At 42.9% G+C, this 27,318-nt stretch overlaps 1 long non-coding RNA gene across 8 annotated transcripts in view, besides 2 other annotated features; it reads right to left on the bottom strand.

Annotated features, from left to right (window-relative positions):
- Nucleotides 1,792–3,380: an enhancer, noted in NCBI's record as "VISTA enhancer hs302". NCBI's record gives its function as "enhancer in: limb[8/11]" and the evidence as "EXISTENCE:transgenic organism evidence [ECO:0001131][PMID:17130149]".
- LINC01605 (long intergenic non-protein coding RNA 1605) overlaps nt 13,232–27,318 on the bottom strand; it is a 196,324-nt gene continuing 182,237 nt past the window's right edge. For 3 of the 8 annotated variants that reach the window (NR_170186.1, NR_170192.1, NR_121620.2), the window contains one exon: nt 16,346–16,735. This is a non-coding gene — a long non-coding RNA (long intergenic non-protein coding RNA 1605). Of the gene's footprint in view, nt 15,704–16,345; nt 16,736–20,062; nt 20,130–22,357; nt 22,485–27,318 lie in introns of those variants that run through there. The other 5 variants (NR_170194.1, NR_170190.1, NR_170193.1 and 2 more) reach the window with 4 other exon arrangements.
- Nucleotides 26,571–26,650: an enhancer, noted in NCBI's record as "active region_27225". NCBI's record gives its function as "activates an Ori minimal core promoter by ATAC-STARR-seq in GM12878 lymphoblastoid cells {active_cell/tissue: GM12878}" and the evidence as "EXISTENCE:reporter gene assay evidence [ECO:0000049][PMID:35858748]".

Here is a 27,318-nt window from a genome sequence, read left to right on the forward strand (position 1 = left end):
CCTTGTGTCGGGCACTTGGGCTAACAGTTACCAATTAAAAGAGACAATACCATAAATTGTGCTAGCTTTTAAACCCCTGCTATGCCTCCCACTCCCCACCCCCTTTGATCTTAAAAACTTATCTAGACCTCTGAGAATGTGGACTCCTTTGAATTTCTTCTTTTGCCACACAGCACACACTGTGTTGGGTGTTTTTTCTGATTCTGCCAAGTGCTTCCCTAATAAGGTTCATCTGCAGACAGCCACCTGGGTCCACCCCAAAGGTGATGGGGTTTTGTTTTTGTTTTTGTTTTGCATTTCCTATCTTGAGAATAGGAAAAAAAAAAAAAAAAGCAACATAGCTGCAGTGTGCCTCTGGGCCAGAAGGGGGAGGCTGAAGGAAGTGGATTCCTGTAGGTCTGCAAAAAAAGTACATTATGGCGGGAGAAGGAGATGGTGAGGCGAGAGGGGTGGTTAGAAATGCAAAGGGGAGAAGAAAGAGGTGGTGAAATCAAAATAATTTTAATAAAATAATAATTGCAGCTATCATTTTAGTGTGCTCAGTGCTTTACATATGTAGCTGCATTTAATCCTCACAACAACTCCAGGAGGTAGGTACTAATATCCCCATTTTTCAGATGAGGAAATCAAAATGACAAAAAGGAAACCCTTCAAACTTCCAATTTGTACACTAATTTTCAGGCAGTTGGATTGCTGGGCTATAACCAAGGCAGTTCATAAGTAAATACTGGCGGCTTGAGTTTTTTTTTGTTGTTGTTTTTTTATTTTTAATGTTCACTATTCCAGGCCCCAGGTCAGTAACCGAATATGTGGGAAGCCTTAAAAATACCAATGAGAGCATTTGAAATAGCACAGCTGAAAACCACTACTTTTCACACTGGGCTCCATTCAGAGTTCAAGGTTGGACATTTCTCTCCCACACAAATTCAACAGAACAAGAAACCACAAGAATTGAGTGTTTTCCAAGTCTGAACTGGGGAATATGAACTTCAGAAAAAGGCATGAAGATAAATTTATTTGAAAGCACTTCTCTGAATACGTTTGCACCTCAGTTTCCTGGCTTCAAGGCCCTTGGATAGCCCTAGATATTTAACATAGACCAAATCACTGATGACATTCAGTAAATATTCAACAATATGCAGATTGTGGTCAATTTCCTGGTGGGGGTCTAACACTTGTTAGAATTTTCCAGATGGGCTGGGTGCGATGGCTCATGCCTGTAATCCCAGCACTTTGGGAGGCCGAGGCAGACAGATCATCTGAGGTCGGGAGTTCGAGACCAGCCTGACAAACATGAAGAAACCCCGTCTCTCCTAAAAATACAAAATTAGCCGGGCATGGTGGTGCATGCCTGTAATTCCAGCTACTCAGAAAGGCTGAAGCAGGAGAATTGCTTGAACCAGGGAGGCAGAGGTTGTGGCGAGCCAAGATTGCACCATTGCACTCCAGCCTGGGCAAAAAGAGTGAAACTTCGTCTCAAAAAAAAAAAGAAAAGAATTTTCCAGATGAATCACTTCTGTTTTATCCAGATTCCATACCATCACCAACTCCATATCTGCCCTCCCAATGAACTCCATGGATATTAGCTGATAGGTTAAACTTTCTTAGAATGTCCCAAACTGTAGTCATTTTTCAGTCTGATATATCTCTACTACCCGATTGCATGTACCCCTCCATCCAAGGTGTGTCCGACAAAGATTCTCATATGGTAAGGATGTATTCAGTGTTGCTGAAAGAAATAAATAAATGAACTTCAGCAAACTGTCTATCTCTGTATTTAGATTTGCTTTCAGCATGAGGATTTGGGATTTTTTTGGAGAGGGGGGATAGGAGTTTTTATCCTTTTTTCCCATTATATTTCAAATGAATTTGTCAAGAGGCTTAGAGTTTTATTTTTCCAACATGAATCACTGATGATCTAACAAATTAATTACCCATCCATCCTGCCTTAGTGGGTGAGGTCATGGGAGAACGGATGGGTTCAGCTGACCTCCCCTGGACTGTAGTGTCGTGGCCCCCATTTAAGAACTTGAGTTCAATGCCAAAATTGCCAGTTTAGGTTAGATTCAGACCTAAATGTATCTTATTATACACAGAGGCACACAAATGCAATATGTCATCTTTAATGGTTCAGAACAAAGCCTAAAAAAAATAGTGTCCTAGCACAGATGAATTTTATAACCTTTGATATATGGGTTTCATTATTAACAATAATTTCTGTAACTGCATCCAAATTCGGGAAGACACCCAATGAATATTAATTTTATTTTTGATTTATTTTCTCCTCCTGGTTGTTCCCTCTAGGGCAGACCTGCCTTCCCAGCGTCCCTTTGGCCCTGTGATCTTACATCCTCCAGAGTGAAATTCTCATAGTTCTGGGGACAGCCTGATTCCAGGAATATTGCACTTGAGGTTTTGCTATTCTGCTGGAAAATAAGGATTTTTTCCCCATTGCATTTTCTTACCTCTTTATATTTTACAAAGATTTCCCCCACACACCCTTTGTCATTATATTTAAACCTAATTGCAAGACAACTCTCCTCACCTAAGTCATCAACAAAGCCCAATTATTTCTAATGCATGCAGAAGGGGGAAAAAGTGCCAAACAATAAAAAGGCATGCAGTAACCTAAGCCTTTTTCACAGTCAGGCTTCAAGTTCACATGTGAATTTATGCCAGTTTTGACATTAGCCGAAAAAATTAACAGTTCTCAAAAATGAAACTCTCACAAAAGGGGTTTTGTGTTTCAAGCAGAATAAATTATAGTGTGATGTTATTAAAACACTTAGTTGTTAAGTTGCCAAGAAAATCCAGTATATTCACACAGACTCGAGGACCTGTCTCCATGCAAAGTAATTAAATTAGATTTATGGGCTGCATTACATCAGTGTTTGATAGTTCATTTTTCCTTTCTTCATATTTTGCCCTGCTTTGTTAGAGCATGTGACAGATGGTAAAAATAGTGTGAAGTTTCTTGGCCCTGTGCTAAATCCCCTTTCGGTAGTATATCTCTCTTCTGTCAGTTCTCCCCAGCGATGATAAATTAACCTCTCTCTTTGTATCCCAAGTGTGGCAGTAAAGCTCTCTTTGACACAGCACTATCACTTTATCTTAATCTGTGCTGTTTCGAGGGGAGAGGGAGATGATGCAATCGCTACCCTGAGTTTAAAGAGAAGATTTATTGTGTCAGAAAAAGAGAGGATGATTAATATAATATGCATCATTATATTTTTCATTTTGTCTCATTTGTCGTCTTCTTCTCTTGGAAGGCAAGGAGTTCGCCAGGGTGGGCCAACCTCTGGACCGCCTTTCACCTGGAGCCGGCTGAACCCGGGGGCTGGTAGGTTGGGGGAGGTCGGTTCCTTCTCTCTACCCCACCCCGCCCACCCCGCCCCTGGGCCACCATGGGAGGGGTGGGGTTTTTCTTTCTGGTGACTGAAGCCAGCTTCCCACCCTTCCCAAAGCGAGGCAGCCACACATGGGGTCAGCTTGGCATGGGACTCCCCTTTGGATGGAAGATATTCGAAAGGTCTCAGGGCACGATTTGAGGTGGGTCAGTCAAAATATGCCCTAAATCTAAATAGAACTTGGGGTCATCCAGCCCGCAAGAGACACTGTTGGCAGGACCAGAAGTAGTGCCATATATAATGTTTCTGCAGGAAGGGACATATTACTATGATTATTTCCCTCATTTATAATAAAGCTATATTCTCCTTAAGCTGCTCCTTGGCTATGAATTTCTTATATCTGGGAACTGACTTTATTCATTCTGCTCAATAAGCATTCATTAGTATCAATACGTAGCAGGCATCGGATGGATATAAAGGTGTCTAGAGGACCTATTCCTGCCCTCAGGAAGCTCACATTTCAACCAGCAGGCAGCCATTGGCCAACTGCGATGAGCATCTCTCCCTCCTGGGTCCTCCCAGCATGGAGGGTGCCGGGCCTGGGTTGGGCCCTGGGTTGGGCCCAGGGTGGGACCCTGAATCCCACTAAAGGAAGTTCCCCAAATTAAGGGTGCATTACAGATAAGATGGGCATAATTAGAAACCTAATGGGAAAGCGTCACTGAGAGCTGAAAGGGATTGTGGTTTATCTGTTTCACGAAGTGAGTAGTCACAAGCCAGTTTCTCTGCTTTCAAAATTGGGATTTTTCAAGAGTTACCGAAAGTGGGATACCTTATAGAATCCCAAACAACTGGAGTCTTTTCACCCAGTTTTCCTCACAGACTCTGAAAGAAGCAAATGGCAGGTGGCCTGTCCTAGCCATTCTCACTCACCTGTTGAATTCACTCTTTTTCTCCTTTCCTAGGACTGACCCCAACTCCCTCGCCACTCCAACCCTCCCACCCAGGAGGGGCACCAGCAGCCATGTCTGTGCTTACACAGTGCAACCCCACAGGTTCTCTCTCTCCCAGGAATTTGGAATTGAGGTAGAATAACAGCCAGTAGACTGGAAAATGAATGAGAGCACTCAAGATGCTGCGGGCAACTGAAGAAGTTAGCTCTGCAGAGGAATGAAGACAAGAGATGCCGTGAGAACTTCCTGGATCCAGACACAATTTTCCATGCACCACTGTCCTTGAGGCCCATGACATCCCTTTATATCCTTCAAATAAATTCCCCTTTTTTCTTAAAATAGATCAGATTGGTTTTTTTGCTCCCTACAACCAAAAGAGTCTTAAAACACCTCTACTTTCTACAACTCCCTAATACAGTGCTTCTATTCAAGTCAAGCTAATTTCTTTTGTTGTCCTGCAACCATGAGCCTTGCTCATTTCTACATTGTTACATTTGCTCCAGTTGATTATTTCACCGGAGATGCCCTCTCGATTCCCGTAACCTATCCTCCTCCCAACACAAGTGCCTCCTTCATCATGAAAACTGCTCCAGCCCTTCTGATAATCTCTCCCTTAGGTTTCTCCTTATATTCTCTGCCAAAAAATTTAGCAATCAATTGTATTTTGTCATGTACGCTGTACTGTAATGCTAATCTTGTCTCCGCAAAGAGATTGTGAGCTCCTTGCGGGCAACAACATGACTTCTAAGACTTTCTCATATCTCTTAGTACCAGCACTTGGTTTAACTGAAGCACCTTTCCCCAGATGAATCCATGACCATCCAGCAAAGCTGAATAGATGGAATGAAAGAAGAGGAGAACCTAAGTTTAGACAGAGCCAGAAGTGTTTCTTGGTTGCTGCTTCTCCCCAGCATGGTAGAGGTTCTTCACCATCTTGGACAGGGAATGGGACCCCATTTTCAGCAGGCTGAGAGAGGAAAAATACTGCCCTGGGATGTGGAAAAGGTGATGCCATTTGCAGGACAGCCAAATTTATTGCTGCCAGAAAAAGTAGGGTCAACTAGCAGAGATACGGGATGATGTGTATCAACCAAACTTTGGATGAACTAAGCATCCTTTCAACTTAATTTTGGAAATCTAAATATATGGAATGCATTAGCTGATTTTATTTTTGGCAGCAGACTTAACCATTCTAATCATGTTTTGCTCTAGAGAATTTTAAAATTAGTTTGCATTTCCTAAGCACACATCAGCTGGGTGAGGGCTGAGGGAGGGAAAAGAGGGAGAGGGAGATGCTAGGAGAAAGCTTGGTTAGGATTAAAACTTTCCTGGCAGATGCCTCATTAAGTGGATAATCCACATGCAGATATATGAAAGCTGACTAACATTGAGTCCTGGGGCCTAGGAGAATGTGGGAGCACAAACAGGCACCTGTCCACCAAGCCAAGATAATTATAAATATGATGCAGGAGGTAAAAAAAAAAAAAAAAGAAAGAAAAAAAAGAAAGAAAGAAAGAAGAAAAAAGAAGAAAGAAAGAAAGAAAGAAAGAAAGAAAGAAAGAAAGAAAGAAAGAAAGAAAGAAAGAAAGAAAGAAAAAGAGAAGAGCTATTTATTTACTGTTTGCATATTTTCTGGGAGAAGAACATAGCTGCAAAAACAAAATTTCTGAGTGATAGTAAATTTACTCTACTATTTGTAGAGTTGGTCAATATGTTATTAACCAACATGGTGGCAATATTAAATGACAGTGAAATCCTGGCATCCTCTCAGGGTTCAGTGTGCTTTGCAAGCATCCTTTCTTTCTTTATCCTCAGCTGGATGTGGGAGGTGATATGGTCTCCACTTCTTAGGAAAGGTGTACAAAGGCTTTTCCAAAATTCATCCTCACCCTCAAAGATATAATCATCATAGTGATTACAATTTGTGGGATCCCCTACTATGTGCTAGAAAATTACACATTATATATGACATCTTCACCACAACCCTGCAAGTTTGGTTGAATAGATATTCCCACTTCACAGATGAGAAACAGAGTCACAACATGGTTAAATAAATTTGATGCACTCACACAGCCAGAAAGTGGCTCAGCTGAAATTGCAACCCAAGGTTCTGTTCCCAGAACCTGCGTTTATTTGACAATGCCACCTCTCAAGAAATACAAGACCATGCTTCAGACTGAAGAGTGAATCACTAACAGCTCACTGTCCAATCCCCTTCTAGGTGAGGTGGGGGTTGAAGAATGCTGGGGATGGCACACCACCCAGGGCTCCTGGGACTTTTGTACTAGTCTTAGCCAAACTGCCCTGGGTTGTCAAAAAATACTGCCCTCGATGGGCCACTGTCCCTTGATGGGAGCACAGCTCTCTGGGATCCAACAAAGGGCTGATGGAGTCCAGGCATGCACAGAGCTGTTCTGGCCTTGAGCCTGAGAGCCACCACTGCCCTTGCTCAGTAGCCAGTTTGGAGAGAAAAAAGGAAATATGCAAGTTAAGACACTCTGGCCTTTGTCTCCATTAGATTCTGCCTTAACAGACAGGCTTTGGGAATCTGTAAGCCAATGGTGGGCAGAAGTTGCTGGAGGACTGAGAAAAGATAGTCAAAGGGGCTCATAAAGGCAGAAGATCCTTTAAAGAAATTATACATGATAAAACCAACATTAAATTAAGGACTATTTAAAAGAAAAAGGCAGTAGCTGTATCAGTCAGGTTCTCCAGAAAAACAGAACCAACAGAAGGTAAGTGTGTGTGTGTGTGTGTGTGTGTGTGTGTAATATATACATATACATATGAAATAAAGATGTTTATTTTAAGGAACTGGCTCACACAAGTCCAAAATCCAAAGACAGCCCAGGAGGCTGCAGCAGGAGCTGATGCTGTAGTCTTTGAAAAAAAATTTTAGATTCAGGGAGTACATGTGCAGGTTTGTTACAAGAGCATACTGCCTGATGCTGAAGTTTGGGCTTCTATTGGTCCCATCACTCAGATAGTGAACAGAGTACCCAATAGGGAGTTTTTCAACCCTTGTCCCCCTCCCTTCTTCCCCCTTTTGGAGTCCTATCTTTATGTCCATGTGTACTCAATGTTTAGCTCTCACTTATAGGTGAGAATATGTGATATTTTGTTTTCTGTTTCTGCATTAATTCACTTAGGAAAACGGCCTTCATCTGCATCCACGTCGATGCAAAAGACATGGTTTCATTCTTTTTTATGGCTGTGTAGTATTTTATGGTGTACATGTACCACATTTTCTTTATCCAATCCACCATTGGTAGGCACCTGGGTTCATTCTATGTCTTTGCTATTGTGACTAGTGCTGATGCTACAGCCTTCAGGGAGAATTTCTTATTCAGGAAACCTCAGTGTCTTCCCTTAAGGCCTTCCAGCTGATTGGATGAGGCCCACCCGCATTACCCAGGGACCTCTCCTTTACATAAGATCAACTGATGGAAGATGTCAACCACATCTACAAAATACCTGCACAGCAATATCTAGATTAATGTTTAACTAAATCATTGGGACTATAACCTGGCCAAGTTGAAATAAAACTGAATATCATATTAGGATTACCCTAACACAATTATTTTCACTCTTTTGTGTTCTCTACTAATAATTACGTATTTTACATAGTTATAAAAACTATATTACAAGAATTTACTACTTTTATTATACATATAATACATGTTCATTATAGAAAATTTGTATACATAAAAATTTGCCATTCTAATTTCTTAGGTAAGTTGTAAACCCTTTTTCATGTTTATAAGGCTATCTCCTCCATGGGATTACAGGAACCATAAGAACAGAGGCCAAGGTCCCATCTGTGTTTTTATGCCTGTCATTAATTATGGTGCCTGGCATATGTTAGGTGCTCAATATATATTGTTTAAAAGAATGGGTTTTCTTTTTTTAAATATATTTTCCACCTTTTATTTCCATCGGTATCATCCATTTAAAAAGAATAACAGGAAGATTCCCATCAGTCTAAACTGGACCACCCATGCTTTATGAAAAAGTTGGAGCATTTCAGCCGGCCCCACATGACCCACCCTGCCTTCAGTTAGAGGAGCTTCTAGTGCCTTCTGGAAGGGAGGAAAAGTCTCGGATCCACCTGGCACTCAATCCACTCAGCACTTGGCTGCTGCTGCCGTCCTGGGGCCGGAGGGAACTCCCACTGAATGCACTTCTACAGAGGAGTGTGTGGTGCAGTGAGGATGGTTACTGCTGGAGCCAACACACAGTGAACTACATACTTTTAGAAAGAGCCTCTGTCACATAGATAGAACCAAAAGAAAACCCAGAAAAAACCTTGAGAAAATATATTTAAATCTCTGATAGGTCTCTTAGCTAGCAGTGAGTTCAGTATGACAGCATAGAGTCTAAAAATATTAATTAAAAATAAGTTGCTTTGGTTAGCATTTAATCCTTCCCCAAGAATGGGTTTTCTTATGTAACACCAACACTAATTATTTGTGATAAATACATAAGAGTCTAAGTAATATACTAAAATTATCCTAGTTCATCACCTATTATTAAACATTCAGGTTCTTTTCAGGTGTGGTTTTGGGGGTTTTTTTCTGTGAAAAGTTTTACTGCTAGAGACTTCTTTTTCAAATAGAATTTTCTCTTATTTGAATAATTCAAAAAAACTTATTTACACGTTTTCCCTTGGGGCATGTTGGCCTTAAATGATCACACTGATTAGTCAAACTACTAATTAATTTAGAAGAGAGTATAAGTCAAAATGATTGTTTGGCAGATCCATTAAGACTTGAACAATAGCCTCATAATAATAGCTAGTAATATGTAGCTCTTTACAAAACTGCCCCAAGCCAAAACTGAGCTTTGTTAAGCATGGTCCCATAACTTCCCTCTATAATAATGGGGCTGGAAGTCTGAAAACTACATTTCCCAGATCTCTTTGGCAGTTGGCTTCCAGTTAAGTTTTGTCTAACTGGCAGGAAAATCAAGACAAGAGAGGAAGGGAGATGTCTTTGTTTCTCTCTCTCTCTCTCTCTCTCTTTCTCTCTCTGTCTCTCTCTCTTCTCCTGCTTCTCTCCTTTCTTCTTCTGATAGTGTTTCTTCCACCATCTCAGCTTTTTACTTCTTTTGAGACAGGGTCTTGGTCTGTCACTCAGGCTGGAGTGCAGTGGTGTGATCATGGCTCACTGAAGCCTCAACCTCCCCAGGCTCTAGTGATCTTCCCATCTCAGCCTCCCAAGTAGCTGGCACTACAGGCACACATCACCACCATCACGCTTTTGAGGCTGTAATCCACTTTCTGTGCTCTTAGGTTCTGGAAACCCCATCACCATTCTTTTGTTCCTCCAGCCCTAGATAATATCTGATTTACCTTAATTTCCCCTTTTTTGCTCTTTGACTGTCTAAGATCGTTGTAGCCTATTGCCTGTATTAAATATCCTCTGTATGAAATACATAGGTTGGTTTCTTTTTCTGACTAGACTGTGATTGATACAATAAAAACAAAATTTTTTAATGAGGAATTGCTCATCTTACTTGGTTTTTGCCCACTTTGGTCTCCAAAATCTAGACTTTTGAAGTCAATCAGGGTACACTCATCCAAAATATCCCTGTATCACTGTATTGATTGTGTTTTTGTATTTTTTACATTTTGTGATGTTTTGACATCTTAAAAAGCTTTCTGACCAAGGGGAGACTGTTCCTTCCTGGCCAGTCCCTTCTTAGTCTCAGTAAAAGACTCAGCAAGGAGTATGTTTCTTATGTACAAACAAACCAATCCCACATCTCTAGCCTCAACCACCTCCTTCTATAACTCTCACATATCAAGCCAATATTTCCTCTGTCCTAAATCATCCCAGTGCCAGGTACCAGGCAACTAGAGACCACTGCTATAGCTCAAAGCCCACCAGAATTATTCAAACTAGTCAGCCCTAATCTGTCCACTCTGCCCTGCCTTGCGTTTCCCGCAGAAACCCCAGCTCTATCTCAGGCTCTCCCCGCACTCTTGTCTTCTGCCACCTGACCCAAACCTGGTGCTTCTCCTGTGGCCCAGTATGGCATGTGGCGAATTCCTCTCTGGGATCTGTGAGTATAATCAACTTTTTCTTTTCAAGCTTTATTCTCATTCCCTCTTGCGGTCATGCCAACTTTACCACACCATAGCCCACATGAACATTCTTAGAATAATAACAGTGTTTCCTAAGCTCTATTCCTCATATTATTTGTGTCCAGAAGGATTTTAATAGGTGCTCATTAAAAAAAAAGGTTTCATAGTTAGGCCAGGCACAGTGGCTCACGCCTGTAATCCCAACACCTTGGGAGGCCAAGGAGGGTGGATCACTTGAGGTCAGGAGTTCAAGACCAGCCTGGCCAACATGGTGAAACCCCGTCTCTACTAAAAATACAAAAATTAGCTGGTCATGGTGGCAGGTGGCTATAATCCCAGCTACTTTGGAGGCTGAGGCAGGAGAGTCACTTGAACCCAGGAGGCAGATGTTGCAGTGAGCCAAGACCGCACCACTGCACTCCAGCATGGGCGAAAATAGTTAAATGAATTTGGGGCATGCTGGGTTAAAGTTCAACAAGCTTCTTCACTGAAGGACTTCTCAGAGCCTTTAATATACAAATGTGCATTTTGAATCTCCAAGAGTGTTTCCCAATTTTTTTAACCAACTAGTCTTTTATCACACAAAGTACAGTTATATATCTAGAGATGATAGCCTTTCAAGGAACACTATTTGGGAAGTGCTAGTCTACAGTAATATTTCAAAAATTATTTTAGTGTCTGTATGAAGAAGATATTAAGAGGTTAAGAATGGCTAAAGTCATATTTTGTATAAAAATCAAAGAGTACCAAAATATTGATATGCATCTGACTATACAGATTACAGAATTATTATATGTCTTCAGCTGCTCTTCTTTAGGGATGTGGCAATAACCTTTATTCCACCAGCTAAGGGAATGGTTATGGTCCAGGAAAAATGTTCTTCTGCTTTTATTCCTTGCTGTCAGGCTAGAATGTCAAGCCTCTTATTACAAGAACACTGTTACTAAATCTCAGCCTTTGCTTATTCCCTGTGAATATGGCAGTCTTTAAGTAGAAAATAGTTATCATTCTACTTCGTTTTCTTTCTTTTCTCAGGAGATTAAAAAGGGATTAGCTGTAAGAATATAAGCGGAACCTTAAAAGGAAGTTCATGGAAACCCACAAAGTAGAACACTAGCTCAGCAAGGCCTCATAAGAACTGGAATAGAGAACTCAAAGGCATCGTGAACTAAGTGTGTGCCCTCTTCTCCTCCTTCTCTCTGTCTCTGTCTCTATCTTCCTCTGTGCCTCTCTCCCTCCCTCCTCATGCCATATCTACTTCTTTCAGAGGTTGCTGCCTTGTTTTCCCCTCCCCACTGCCTGGGCTCTGTTTAACCTCAGCATGAACATGGATCACAGGGGCTGTCCCTGTCTCAACTGGCACAATTGCCACCTGCGGTCCCCAAGGGCCCCATCTCTCAGTTTTATCACTGCATGATTTCTATGGGCAGTTTCACTTCCTCCTGTGCTCAGCAAAACGCTGACTGTGAGCTGTGTGATAATAAAACTCTCCTTCTCGAACCTGAAGTTTGCATTTTCTCTCTGAGGAAAAGTATTCTGAATACTGGATAATGGGAGGAGGGTTTTAAATCTCTTTTTGCAAAAACAGAATTTTCCTTCCTTCCTAACAAAAGTTGGCTTAAAGTCCAAAATTATAAAGGCTTCTTGTTGACATGATCTGTCCCTGCTTCACCCCTTCCCCAACCTTAGACTCTCTAAGGCTCCCCCTCAGTCTTTCTGGCCCACCTACCACAGCCTTGCTGCATTCTCTTAGATTTGCACATTTACATATTCTGCCCTTTCTACCTGGAACTCACTCTCCCTTTTCACCTGGTTAATTCCGACTCATCCTTGAGATCTCAACTCTGTTGTCACTCCCCTAGGGAAGCTCTGCCTGACCCCCCTAATCATCTCATCATCAAACCCAGTCTGAAATTGGTTGGTGTGGTTATTGTACAAATTCCTTTCTTACTTATTAGTATGTGAGTCCAGAGGCCATGTCTGGTTTTGTCCATTATTGTATCCCCTGCATCAGATAGCAGAGAGCACCTGGTGGGCTTTAATAAAAATTTGATTGAATCCATTCTGTTCCTTAGTAATCATATGGTTCATCTTTAAGCTCTTTAACTAGTCTCATATAAAACAATTTTGGGCTGGGTACAGTGGCTCATGCCTGTAATCCCAGCACTTTGGGAAGCCGAGGCAGAAAGATCACTTGAAACCAGAAGTTTAAGACCAGCATGGGCAGCATAGCAAGATCCTATTTTTACACACACACACACACACACACACACACACACACACACACACATACACAATGTTAATTAGCTGAGCATCATAGCATGTGCCTGTACTCCTAGCTCTTTGGGAAGCTGAGGCGGGAGGATTGTCCAGGAGTTCAAGGCTGCAGTGAGCTATGATCACGCCATTCACTGCACTCCACACTAAGCAACAGAGTGAGACCCTATCAAAAAAAAAAAAAAAAAAAACTGTCCTTGTTTTATAATTTCCTATTCTTCTTTCATGCATATAATGCCCTCTTTTATCTATTTAAAGATATTAAATATAATTGCTTTTCTTTTAAAGGCCTGTGCTGATGGCTCTATTATCTATGTTTCCTTGATTATAAGAACTTGTCTTGTTTATTTCATTTTAATGGGTTTCCTCAGATGTTTGGCAATTTTTCATTGAGTGTTCATGTTCTCTGGCAGAAGATTTTCACATGTGGCCTGTGAGGCAGCTTTCCGCTGTAGTCTCAGGACAGAGTCACTGTTTACTCACTTCACGCTTAAAATTTTGTAACATTTTTCTCTAACACGGTTTACTTCAGTTTGTCTTGACAAAAACTCTAGATGGTAGACAGAGCATGTAATATCATTATCTTTATTTTACAACTAAATAAAATTCTGAGAAATTGTGTCTTCCCCAAAATGATGCGGTTGATATAATATCAGAGCCAAACTCAGACTCAACCATCTGAGTGCCTATCCCAGCATCATCACACCACACCACAGCTGCCCATGCAGTTGATATAATATCAGAGCCAAACTCAGACTCAACCATCTGAGTGCCTATCCCAGCATCATCACACCACACCACAGCTGCCCATGCAGTTGATATAATATCAGAGCCAAACTCAGACTCAACCATCTGAGTGCCTATCCCAGCATCATCACACCACACCACAGCTGCCCATGCAGTTGATATAATATCAGAGCCAAACTCAGACTCAACCATCTGAGTGCCTATCCCAGCATCATCACACCACACCACAGCTGCCCCTCACGTGGGTCTGCTCAGAGGTCAGCATTATCGTCAGCGTTTCCAGTTCCAAGCGACAAAAACCCAGCCCACGCTGTTCACTTGTGTTTAGGAACTTGTGTGTTTCGTTTATTTCATTTTGATGGCTTTCCTCAGATGTTTGGTGATTTTTCATTGAGTGTTCATCTTCTAACAGAAGCAAGCAAGAAAGAAAGGTAAACAACTTAAGGACGGTAGAACTCGGCCTTGACAATGGCTGGACCCAGGGACCTTCAGGCTCTCAGGATTCTCCTTCTCCATCTCCTGACTCTGCTTCTCTGTGTGCTGGCTCCCTTCTCTCCTTCTGCAGGATGTATTCTTTACATGGTGGAGGACAGGACTTCCAGAATCCCTGGATCCACATCCCAACAGCTCTGCCTACCCACCACCTTCATCCCGTTCCCCAGAAGAAAAGAGAGAATTTTTCTCTCCTACCTTCAGTTTCTAAAATCCTCAAGAAGGACTCAGGTTGGGCCAGCTTACCTGCCTGACCCTCCCCGCTGGACCAGCCACTACAGTCACGGAGATAATCATCATTGGCCTGATCTAGGTTATGGGATCCCCTCTGGGGCTGGAGAGCAGGGCCTAAATGTCAGCCCACCAACAAAATTACAAATAACTTCTCAAAAGGAGAGTACTACTGTTCTACCCTTATTACAGGAAGCCATCTAGTAGGGCTTGTGGTGAATGGCTGCCCTGTAAGGTATGCACATACAAGAACATTGGTTAGCAAAAGATATGGAGACATAGTTGTATGTTATGAACACTGGCCATGCTTCAACCTAATGTGGTGAACAGCATCTGGACTTAGGAGTCAGATAGATTCCAGGTTCAAATCCTGAAGCTGTTGTTTAAGAGCTGTGTGACCTTAGACAATATACTTAACAAGAACACTAGAATATTTGTTATTCCCTTGGGCAATATATTTAAGTTGGCAGATAATAAGCACTCAGTGGTTGCAACTATATCTCTCTAACAGCTGTACTAAGTGTATTTCCTTCTCAACTGTCCAGAAAGCAGGGATTCTCAGCCAGGATTTTGTAGAAGCTCCAGGAAAATCTTCACTTACTTCAAAATTTGTCACAAGCATCTCAAAATAATTTTTAATAAAAATCAGTTTTGTTCCTTTCACTTAGAAAGTAATTCTATTCATGAAGTTCTTTAGGAAAAGGAAGGCATGACACCAAATAAACAGAATCAAGCAACCAAAAAGGGATTTTATGGGCTGAACTGGATTGCCCCAAAATTTATATGTTGAAGCCCTAATACACAGTACCTCAGGATGTGACTGTATTTGAAGTTAGGGCCTTACAATATGTAATTAAGTTTAAATGAGGTCGTATGGGTACACTTCAATCCAATAGAACTAGTGTCACTATAAGATAAGAAAGAGTCCCCAGGGGCACACATGCAGAGGGACAGTCACATGAAGAGACAGCAAGAGGACACCCATCTGAAAACCAAGGAGAGAGGCTTCAGAGGAAACCCAACTCTGTCGTCACCTTGATCTTGGACTTCCAGCCTCCAGAATTACAGGAAAATGAATTTCTGTTGTTTAAGCCAACCAATGTGTGGTATTTTGTTATGATAGCCCAAGCTGACTAACTCATGGGTATCACAACTCTACAAAAAAAAAAAATGTAGGAGTCACTACCTTTGCTCAAGAAGGCCATCTCTATGCAAACTCTGTCACCTTGAAGCCAGATTCTGCCCTTCGCTACCCACCAAACCCATTTCGAATTCTTCAGTTGCAGAAAAAATTACAATAGCAGGCTACCTAAGCTACATGTGGCTTCCTCCATCCACAGCCAGGTGGCTTCAGAACAGCTCCTTTTCAACTCTTCTTGTCCTCGCCTTGTCTTTTCAACACCCATAGAGGTCTTTCCCTACAATGTCATGGCCAAGGAATTGCCCTTCAGGTACCAGGCCCAAGTCTCTTTACCAAGCTCTAGCAAGCTGCTGCTGTGCCATCAAGAGCCCCGGTGTCTTGAGAAATGTAACTCAGGGTTGCTGCTCTTCCGTTTGCTCATTTAATTCTCCTAGAGGTGAGTAATTTGAAAACAATGCAATTACTTGGTGCTTCTGTGTGTGTTTTACATCCATTCAACTTGAGTGACGTGAACTGAATTGACAGCTTCTGCCGGGTACATACAGATGAGTGGTGTACCCACTCACCATGCACCCCAGGAGGAGGAGCTGCCAGCCCTTGGGCAGGGGCAAAGCAGATTTGCTCCCCTGTCACATCCTACTTTCATTAGGATGGAACTCTGAAGTGTCAGCTTCTGTTTACAAATCTGTAAAATGGGGATAATAGTATTTCTTTTAGGCCGGGTGCAGTAGCGCATACCTTTAATCCCAATATTTTGGAAGTCCAAGGCAGGAGGATCACTTGAGCCCGGGAGTTCAAGACCAGCCTGGGCAACATAGCGAGACCCATCTTTACAAATAAATAAATGAATAAATAATATTTATTTTATACAATTGTTATGAGGACTAAATAAATATGTGAGAGACCTAGCAAACCTAATGTTTAATACAAACCAATTCACTTCCCATCAGTTTCTTCATCTGACAAAAAAAAGAAGAAAACAAAAAGGAAAAGAATAAACCCCCCACCATTGCAAAACGATCCAATGACGTCATATGCGGGAGATATGTATATGCATAATATCATCTGCATGGAAAGTCTAATGGTGATCACTTTTATTTATGTAATCAATAGACAGCACTTACCACATAGCACTTACCATGTGCCAAACGCTGTTCAAAGCACTTTATAAACATGAATTAATTTAATTCCTACAACAACCTTGAGGTGGCTCCTAATCTTAGACCATTTTTACAGATGAGGAATCCTGCACGGAGAAGTCAAGTGATTTTCCCAAGGTCACATGGCTAGTAAAAGGCAGAGCCAGGATCCAAGCACAGTCCCAGAAAGTTTCCACGTGCAGACATGTGACTGCCTAACCCCATTGTCTAAGTCCCGCTGGGAGGTCTGGAGGTGAAGGCTGCTTCTTTGAGGAGGGTCTTCTGCTTCCTCTCCTGGTCTTCTCCAGGCACTGCTGAGGAATCTGCAAGGAGAAACCATGACCCTGTCAGTGTCCTCAGCTGGGCTGCCATGAAACCACAGCAAGATGGGCTACTAGGGCCACAGCAGGGGAGAACAGGAGAGGGAAAAGTTGGGTGTGCCACCTGCCAACCCTGCCATCAGTCAGAGACCCTTTCTCTCTTCCCTTCTCAGCCCAAGCTCAGCTTTCAGGCACCCACTGGGGCCTCTCAGCCCCGAACCATAACTAAACAGCACCACATTTGTCACAGGCAGGGAGATCATTGCTTCTTGTTGTTGCTCAAGACTGTTTTCCCCAGGCCTTTTTTCTACCAGTCAGCATGCAAGAAAGAAGGGCAGAGTGGGAATAGCTGCTGTTATTCCACGTACTACTTCCCTCCCTCTGTGCAAAGGTGTGAGCACCCATATGCACAGAGGGCTTCACATCTGCAAGAAGAGAAACGAACACAAGAGGAGCACCAGGGCAGCACAACTGAAAGGGTGCTGGAGTTGAAGTCCGATTTCTTTTACTGGTTTGTTTATTCATTCACTCTGCAAAGATCTACTGAGTCTACGTAGTGCCAGGCCCTCCTCTCAACCTTACAAGTGTGGCAGTCAACAAGATACAGCCCTTGCCTTCCTAGAGTTTATCATTCTTAAACAAATAAGGGAATCTCAGAGAGCAATGAGCACTACACAGAAAATAAAGCAGGCCAGGTGTGAGTGGTGTCTCATGCCTGTAATCCCAGCTACTTAGGAGGCTGAGGCAGGAGGATCAATTGAACCCAGGAGTTCAAGGCCAGCCTAAGCAATACAGCAAGACTTCATCTCTAAAAGTAAAGTCTGTGTGTGTGTGTGTGTGTGTGTGTGTGTGTTTGTTTTGTTTTTTGTTATTTTTTTTTTAAAGGAAAGAAAAGAAAGCAGAGCATTGGCTAGGTGCGGTAGCTCATGCCTGTAATCCCAGCTCTTTGGGAGGCTGAGGCTGGTGGATCACTTGAGGTCAGGAGTTCAAAAGCCAGCCTGGCCAACATGGCAAAACCCTGTCTTTACTAAAATTACAAAAATAATTAGCCCGGCATGGTGATGGGTGCCTGTAATCCCAGCTACCCGGAAGGCTGAGACAGGAGAACTGTTTGAACCCGGGAGGCAGAGGTTGCAGGGAGCCAAGATCATGCCACTGTACTCCAGCCTGGGCAACAGAGCAAGACTCCTACAAAAAAAAAAAAAAAAAAAAAAAAAAAAAACAGAAAGCAGAACATTGAGACAGAGAGTGACTGAGGAGTTGCTAGGTGCAGCCACCTGAAGACCTAGAAAGAAGAGTGTGTCAGGCAGAGGTAACTCCAAGTGCAAAGACCCTGGGCTGGAAGCGCTAAGTATGTTCGAGAGATACTGTGGTTAGTGTAATTGTAGTTTAATAAACAACGGGGAAAGTCCTAGGAGATGAGGTCAAATGTCCATCTATAGAAGGCATCAAAGGCCTTTTGGTCAATAGATGTTTGCCAGTTGGTAAATTATTTACATTGAAAAATAATAGAAAACTGTTGTCCCCAGTCCTGGAGCCAGTGTGGTGGAGTGGGAAGAATTCCACACTGGGAGTCAGGAGGCTTCTAGTTAGTTATCTGGTCAGATCAATTAACATCATGAGCCTTCATCTTCTCATCAGAAAGTGGAAAAAAGACCCTGCTTTAGAGGTGCTGGTGAGAATCAACTGCAGCAGTGGCCAGGCGCGGTGGCTCATGCCTGTAATCCTACCACTTTGGGAGGCCGAAGCAGGTGGATTACCTGAGGTCAGGAGTTCAAGACCAGCCTGGCCAACATGGTGAAACCCTATCTCTACTAAAAATGCAAAAATTAGTTGGGCATGGTGGTGCAAGCCTGTAATTCCAGCTACTCAGGAGGCTGAGGCAGGAGAATCACTAGAACCTGGGAGGCGGAGGTTGCAGCGAGCTGAGATCCAACACTGCACTCCAGCCTGGGTGACAGAGTGAGACTCCATCTCAAAAAAAGAAAAAGAAAAAAATGCAGCAGTGTACACAAACAGTGGCAGCATATTATTTGGCACATGAGGTGGTCAAAAACTGAGGGGTGTTGGTATTTCTAGCCTGAGCATTATGGGACCTTGGGCAAGTTTCTTAAGAAAAAAAGGACCGATATCATCTATTGAGTAGCTACAAGGGGCAGGCCCCTGCACTGGGCAGTGTTCATGGGTTACACCTCCTTCCCGATTTATGCTGTGAGGAGGCAGGACCCAGTGATACCCAAGATTCCATAAGCTTAGACATTTTCCATGCGACCACCAATCCAGGAGAGACAAAGGATGTCATTCCAAGGAGAACTAGGACAAGAGCAGTGCCAGGCAAGGCCTGAGGAACAGGGATCTGCAAGAGTTTCCAGAAGTCCACAGGGCCTCCATGATGGTTAATATGAGGTGCTGGCTTAACTGAATTGAGGGATGCCTAGATGGCCGGTGAGGCATCGTTTCCAGGCACCTCTATGAGGGTGTTTGGGAGGAGATTGGTGGGCGAGTCAGTGGACTGAGAGACAAAGACCTGCCCTCAGTGTGGGGGGCAGCATCCCATAGGCTGTGGGTCCCAGCTGGTAGATCACAGGTGAAAGAGAGGGGATACTCAGCTCCCTCTTGCTTCCTCTCTGTGTCTCAGAGCAGGATGTCTTTTTCTCCTCCTGCCTTTGGACATCACACTCCAGGTTCTCAAGGGGATTCAGTGCATCCTGAGCTTAGGACAAGAAAAGACCTTCACCTTCCCCTCCTAGCAAAATATTTTCTTGTTTGTGAAAAAAATGTTACAAACTCAGCCCAAGTCATTAGCCTTCATTCTGTCTTTGTCTTTCCCACTGAAGACAATGCTCCTGCCCCTGCTGGAAGTTCTGAAACTTTCTCACCAGAAGAAATCATTCCCTTCTTTCTTCCCCGCCTCTTTCCTTCTTCTTTCCCTCCCTCCCTCTCTTTCTTTCTTCCTCCCAGGCTCCCTCCCTGTCCTCCCACCGCCAGAACTCTCCTTGGCTTCATCTCTACAGGAAACCTGGAGACCACGGCAGGGAAATTCTTCCAGCAGCTCTGCTCTCCTCAAACCTGGGGAGACTGATTTTCCTCCTCACCCCTCGAGGGCTTCTCTCCTGCTCTGGCACTTCCCCAGCCTTCACAAAAGAGGCTGCGGGTGAGGGTTTTTCCATTTAATTTCATTTTTCATCATTTTTACCCTTTTTGGATGGTTCACATTTGAGGGTCTTGGTGGATTAACTGGCCAATCAGATTTCATTATGAGCCCAAGTAGTTCTTATCATTAAACCTGTAATTTATTTCTTCTGTGTTTCATAAAATGTGAAATATTACCATTCTCCAGCAGCTTGAAGAGTGCAGAGATGCTCCATTAAGTTCAACACTGCTCCTCCATAAGAGGCTGTAATTATATGCGGATTTTTTTTTAACAGCTAAGTTTCTACTTGCAGATGCTAACAAAAGAAATAAGCTTTTAATCCAAACATAATTAATATGAATTACCTCCCTGGTACACCCTGGCTTTGCACCATTAAGCTTAATTTTTGTTTTGCATGATAATTGTGTTATCATTACCGTTTATAGGAGAACTCAGGGACCCTCACTTTGTTTTCAGTCAAGACCAATGGGACTGGGAATGACTTCCCTCCCCTCTGCCAGCCAGACGCCTGTCCGCCAGCCTTCCTGAGCCATCCCTCCCAGCCCCTGTGGCCTAGGGAGGCTGGGGTCACGGGCTGCATTGCCAGCCAGAGACCTTACTCCAATGAAAAAAGGAAACAGATTCCTACTTACACATTGGAGGATTTGCCACCCTAGAGACAGGCTCAGCCAGAGCTGCTGCTTAATCATCAGCATCAGCATCATCATCATCATCATCATCATCATCATTATTATCATAATTGCTATTATTGTTCCTAACAGTAATGAGTACTACACAATTTCTCTGCAGCATGCTCCAGCTACCCTGCTAGTGGTTATTTCTCACAACTATCTGGGGATCCTGGACTCTGGATTAGTTAAGCAAAGCCCCAGAAAATCTTAGATTGAGGTCCAAACCCTGGGTCTTATTAAGGATTCTGTTCAGGACTCTGTTCAAGACCAGTTGATTCTCTCTCGCCTCTGTGTGCCTCAGTCTACCTCTTTGCCTCCCACTCCATGAAAAACATTTATGGTTTTTGAATCTGAGAAGGAAACTGAAAATGATACTCTTTCTTTAATCAAAGAGTTACTAAATACCTATGGACTAGACAGTAGGTAGATAGATGGATAAATAGATAGATAATAGATATAGATAGATAGGTGATAGATGATAGACAGACAGATGATAGATTAAAGATTGATAGATAGCTATAGATGGATAGACATCCCATGACCCCTGTCATCTAGGAATTTACAATCTAGTCGAAGGAGGAATATAGACACTCAAATGTTTAAGAAAAGGAGGAATTAAATGACAACACAAAACAATACCAAAAATGACAAATGGAGCTCCTGAGAGTGTGAGCACTCATGGAAGAGGAGATTGCAAAAGTGCTCAGGGAAGACTTGGAATAGGAGCAAGAGCTTGGGCTGGACTCTGTGCATGGGGAGAATTTATGGAGGTGACTCCGTGGAGCAGAAGCTGCAGGGAGGGTGAGCACAGGCCTGGAAGAGGGAACACTCTGGGCACGGCCTTGAGGGAACCAACCCGGCTACAGCAAGATCTCCCAGCAGAGGCACAGGAGATGGGCTGGAAAGGTAACCTGGAATCAGAACATGAAGAGCGCTGAGTGCCAGACCAGGTCATGGAGAGACATGGAATAATCTCAAATGACAGGGAGGCCTTCGTGGAAGTGGTGTCATCCACTGGTCAGCCTGGGGCACGTGGCAGGTGGGTTAGACAAGGAAGAGGCCTAGGCCAGGAAGGCAGGAAACCATGGCAACCGTGGGCAGCAATGAGAGCTCAACTTGTGTGGGAGAAGAGGACTAAAAAAAAGAAATAGCTAAAAGAGAGTCCATGGTACTTACTAAGGGAAAGCAAAGAGAGAACAGAGGATGGAATGCCTGGTAACTCACATTATTTAACAGAAATGATCACTCTAGGTGCTCTGCGGTACAGAACACTCAAAACATAACACTAGGTGCCTAACACAAAGTTAGCACTCATGACTACTGGCTCCTGCTACCTATTAGTATTAGTATTAGTATTAATAATAATTAGTATTAATTTGTATTATAATAATTCAAATGCTATACTATTTTGTCCTCCCAGTGTCTCTGTACAATTGTACAGGATACTGTCTTACATACATTATATATTTGGGTAAAGGAAATTCACTAAGAAATTAAGGAATTATCAAAATGTGATTTATTTTTCAGTGGCCAAGCGACAACCATGGGTCTTCAGATTCTTTCCTCAACAATGTCACTTAAAAAATTAGATGATAATAATAAGCAGTGCCCAGCCCAGGCCCCCACATCAGTCACAAAGCCAAGAGAGTTCTCCTACATGGGAATTACATCACTCAAGGGCCGTTTGTTCACAACCCTCTCTCCCTCCTCTAGGGGGTGAAAGGAGGAATTAAAATATTTATCATTTTTCAAGCACGCTGGACCCTGAGGAGCTGAAGGCTACTGTTGAAGATCCTTTACCATGATATTGGCCCCATTTTTCTGGTCAATCTAGCCTCCAGCAGCTTGAATAGTGTATTGCTTGAAGAGAGGTTTTGCTGTAGCAAAGACTCTTCTATGAAATCCAGTCTCACCAATGACCCAGAAACTGTAAATAGGGAATAAATTTTAATTAGAAGATCAATTCGGCAAACTGGGCTCTTGGTCCAAAATAGACCAAATGAAATTTAGTGATACAATCAGTATAAAGTTTTAACCCATGAGGAAGGGAGATATGATACCATTAAGTAAATGGATAAGAATAAAAAAGTAGAAAAGCATGAAAGAATAAAATCTAACAGGAAGAGACCCACAAAGGCAGAGTGAATCACAAGGTAAACATGAAGGAGCAGGAAGAGCCGAATGCTTTGCAGTGTGGTGGGACTGTGCCTGCTATGTGTTGTGTCTTTTGAAAACAGTCAGCATGAGGGTAGAATGAGAAACTATGGGCAAGCAACACAACAGAGACCCAGCAAGGAACCATCCCATGAGATTCGAGAGTTGACCCCAACTCGGCACTGCACCCTCTTTGGAGCCAAACAGCTAACTTGGAAATGTGAATGGAGAAGTGATACAAAGAGTTGGAGAGGAGGGCCTATGAAACAACTGCAGGGCCCAGAATTAATTAGTCCAGAGTGGGAAAGTCTAGGAGAGAGGATGAATTGATTTAACTGTAGGCTTCAAGCCAATGGTAGGCTGTCTTGACCTCCAAGAATGGTGCCAACTGGTCCTCTCCAAGTCACTTGAGGATAAAAGAGCAAGGAATGGACATGCCAAACCCAGATTTATCTCTTTGTAATCCTTGGCTTTAAAACCTATGATGGTGGATGATGGGAGATTGCTTGGTGGGTACAATGTGCGTTGCTCCAGTGATGGAGGCACTGAAGGCCCTGACTTTACCACAATGCAACATACGTGTTATGGTTTGGATGTGTGTCCCCTCCAAATCTCATGTGAAATGTGACCTCCAATGTTGCATTGAAGAAGAGTGGGCTCAGCAGGAGGTGGGCCTAGTGGGAGGTGTTTGGTTCTCGGGGGCAGATTCCCCATGAATGGCTTGGTGTCCTCCCCATGGTAATGAGTGGTAATGGATGATTAATGAGTTCACAGGGGTGCCGGTTGTTTAAGAGAGGCTCGGACCTCCCTCCCCTCTCTCTTGCTCCCTGACTCACCATGTGACACGTCCACTCCCCCTTCACCTTCTGCCATGAGTAAAAGCATCCTGAGGCTTCCCTGGAAGTCAAGCAGATGCTGGTGCCCTGCTTCCTGTACAGCCTGCAGAACTGTGAGCCAAATAAACCTCTTTTCTGTGTAAATTACCCAGCCTCAGGTATTTCTTTATAGCAGCACAAGAACAGACTAACACAATATCAATGTAGCAAAGTTACAGTTGTACCCCATAAATATATACTAATTTTAAAAAAGAAAAAACAAAATAAAATAAAACCTATGAAGAGCAGCTTCTTTGCTCCTGTTTCCTTAGCCTTCCTGCCTCTGTCTCTCACACCCAGGAGTAGCCCATTTCTAGATGGTAATTTGGCTAGCCACATTCTTCCGACACCTGATATCCAAAACATCCCAGAGTACAGAGGATGGAAGTGACCTTGAGTGGCCCTTTAGCTCATCCTCTGCCTCTGGGTACCTCAAGTGTATAAGCAGGTTTCTAAACTTACTTGATATTACCAGGTAAGCATCACAGCCCATCTAAAGTATAATCTGGTCCAAAAACATCATTGTGAAAGACACCCTACAATGGCCTCTTATAACAACCTCTTAAAGAAAAATTTAAAACTAAAAGGTGTATAAAGAAACATTTAAAAAAAAAGAAAAAAGAAGATGTTCTGGAAGAAATACACAGGATTCCTCACCAGAGTCCACAGAAACAGCTAGAGAAGCAAGGCTACCTCTTGGGCCCTTGGAGGCCAGAAGTGGGACTCATACCCCCTCCTCCTCTAGTCTGCACCCTCTTTACCTTCTCACCTACTAGAGGATATGGCCAGAGGACATGAGGGGCCTGTGTGGTTCCAGCTTACCAACCCCAGAGGAAAGGGCTCTGTCACTCTCACAGGCAAGAATGGTTTGGGATCTAGGTTAAATCAGCAGCTGTGAAATCCTGCCTGCTGATGTGGTGGAATCACTGGCTCCCTAAGTAGGAGGCAGCACTGGGTACTCATCAGAATCTGGTCTCTAGAGATGGAGGACTTGGAACTGAGCATGTCACCTAACCTCCCTGTGGCTAAGTTTACTCATCTGTAAAATGACAGTGATCATACTACCTACCTACCTCATGCAGTTGCTGAGAGGATTAAATAAGTTAATGTGTATAAAGTGATCTGTATAGTGCCTGGCACACCTTTAACTATTAGTTGTTTACTAGTTCTTAAAAGACTCTTTCTTTTTGGTTGTCATGAAGTAGGCTGTTCCCAAGTCCAAATTCACACTCTGAAATTGTCATCATGGTAGAATAAATACTATTATTTATTACATAGTATTAACAGGCCATCAGACTCTTATCAAATATCCTACTGGGTTATATGGATATTTTATCCATTAGGCAGAAAGCGCAAATTCTGAAACTTATATGTTATAAACTGAATAAAAATACAAACTTATTTAGACCAAGACCTTTATAAAATTATTTAATAAAATAATCTATGCATATCAAATAATTTCTGGCAGATGCATGAAAAAAGAAAGATTTATTAAATAATCTTTTTACGTCATTGCTACCCATGGTCTCTACTTGAATTTTGTTATATTTTTCTTCCAGCTATTTCTCTATATTCTAGTGGAATTTTAACCTAATTATAACCATTCTATGTGTCATCATTTCCCAAAACATTCTCCCGCAGAACACCAATGTTCAAAGATAGTAATAGATGTTGGTTGGATAAAGGACTCCAGAGTGAAACAAGTTCAAGAAGCAATAGGTTAAGCCACAACACTTCTCAGAACCTTCAGTGCTGATGAGCATCATGAAGTCTTGAGAGGGGCGTGTGATACCAAGTATTTCCAAATATATTTGACATGGGAGTAGTGTTCCAAAAAACATGCTTGGAAAAATGCTACTCTACAATTTTGTATTCTTCTTATCACAAACATTTCTATATTTTTTCATAAACTTCCTTCACTTCTATATTAGTCCATTCTCAAGCTGCTAATAAAGACATATTCAAGACTAGGTACTTTATAAAGGAAAGAGGTTTAATTGACTCACAATTCAGCATGGCTGGGGAGGCTTCAGGAAACTTACAATCATGGTGGAAGGGGAGGCAAACACATCCTTCTTCATATGGAGGCAAGAAGGAGAAGTGCCGAGCAAAGAGGGAAAAGCCCCTTATAAAATCATTAGACCTTGTGAGAACTCACTCAGTATCTGGAGAACAGCAGCATGGGGGTAACCACCTTTATGATTTAATTACCACCCACCGAGTCCCTCCCACGACAAGTGGGGATTATGGGAACTACAATCCAAGATGAGATTTGGGTGGGGACACAGCCAAACTGTATCAACATCCTTTTAAATCACTGCATAATAATCTACTAAGAAGATATGCCATTAGTTATTTAACCATTCCGCTATACTTAGACATTTCAATTAATTTCAACTTTTGGCTAATATAAATAAAACTGCAGCTAACATCTTTTGGCATTGTAGTTTTAAAAAAAATAGACACGTGTTTAGGTTTGATTTCTTAAGACAGACTCCCAGAAGGAGAATTACTGGGTCAAAGGGTACAAATGTTTTAAGTTCATGGAACATGATTCCAATTTGTTTTTCAGCAGGTCCATATCCATTTTCACTACCCGGCAGCATGTGACAGAGCCCACATGACACACCCAGAGCAAGGCAAGTGGGCAGAAGGCTAAGAGTGGGGCCCCTGATGGCTAGTTTCAGCAGCCTGTGCAGCTGTCAGAGCAAGTGCCAACCCTCTCCTCTCTTTCACCTGCGTCTCTCTCCCTCAGTTCTTAAAACACAGACTCATCAGGGGCTCCAGTTTGTGCAATTTCTGAGCTAATCCCACAGAGTAAAGCACACACCAGTGTCCCTTGTCACTAAATCTACAGGCCACAAAAAGAGGTCCTGCTCCCAGTGGAGCACTGGTAAATGTTTAACACCCAGCAACTCAAGGGGAAAAACACCCTGATTTGTAGCATTTGCCACTTCCTGTGGTGTAAATACTCTCATCACAGCTGGTTTCTAGCTAACAACTTACCAGCATAATGTCACAGAACTTGGAACTGGACAGACATGTGCATAACAGGCTCTTGTAAGCTAGTGGGGTCAGCCTCAGACATCACTGCCTGTTTGTCTCTGGACCATTGAATTTTTCTCTCTTCTCCTCCATACTTGATTCCCCCCACCCCCCATATGTATTCTCCTCCACATCTGACCACATGCAAGATCCAGAATAGCAGAGGCCTGCTCTGGGTGCTCCCATATCCCTGAACCACAATACTGTCACACTCATACGACACTTTCGCTGCAGCTCGATTCACTAGAGAGGTCAGTGGGATTGAAATGCCAAATACCCTCGCCCACAGACAACTGAACCCTGTGGCATCAACTCAGGCTGCCCTGCTGTGCAGCTGTTCCCCCTCCTCCAGCCTCTCTGTTCTCACTACAGAGTCTTAGACTGTCTTTCTTCACACCCCTGCTCGCTGGCTCCTCACCTTCCACTCCACTTTGAGATTTACCAAGCTCCTGATCTTTCCTTTGCCTCCAGTTTCCCAGCCAGCATTCACCCCATGGATCTGATGACAAATTCCATTTTCACATGAGTGAACAAAATCGGGTGAGATTTTAAAATTACTCTTTTTCTCTCTGGCTATTCCAGAAACTCCCTTTGCCAACCCCCTGAAACCCCATGAACATGTATTCACCCACGGAGGATTGAACAGCCCCTCCACTCTGTGAGTGAGTGGACCCTGCTACCCTGCCA

Source organism: Homo sapiens, chromosome 8 (genome assembly GCF_000001405.40).
Source record: "Homo sapiens chromosome 8, GRCh38.p14 Primary Assembly".
Lineage (NCBI taxonomy): Eukaryota > Metazoa > Chordata > Mammalia > Primates > Hominidae > Homo > Homo sapiens.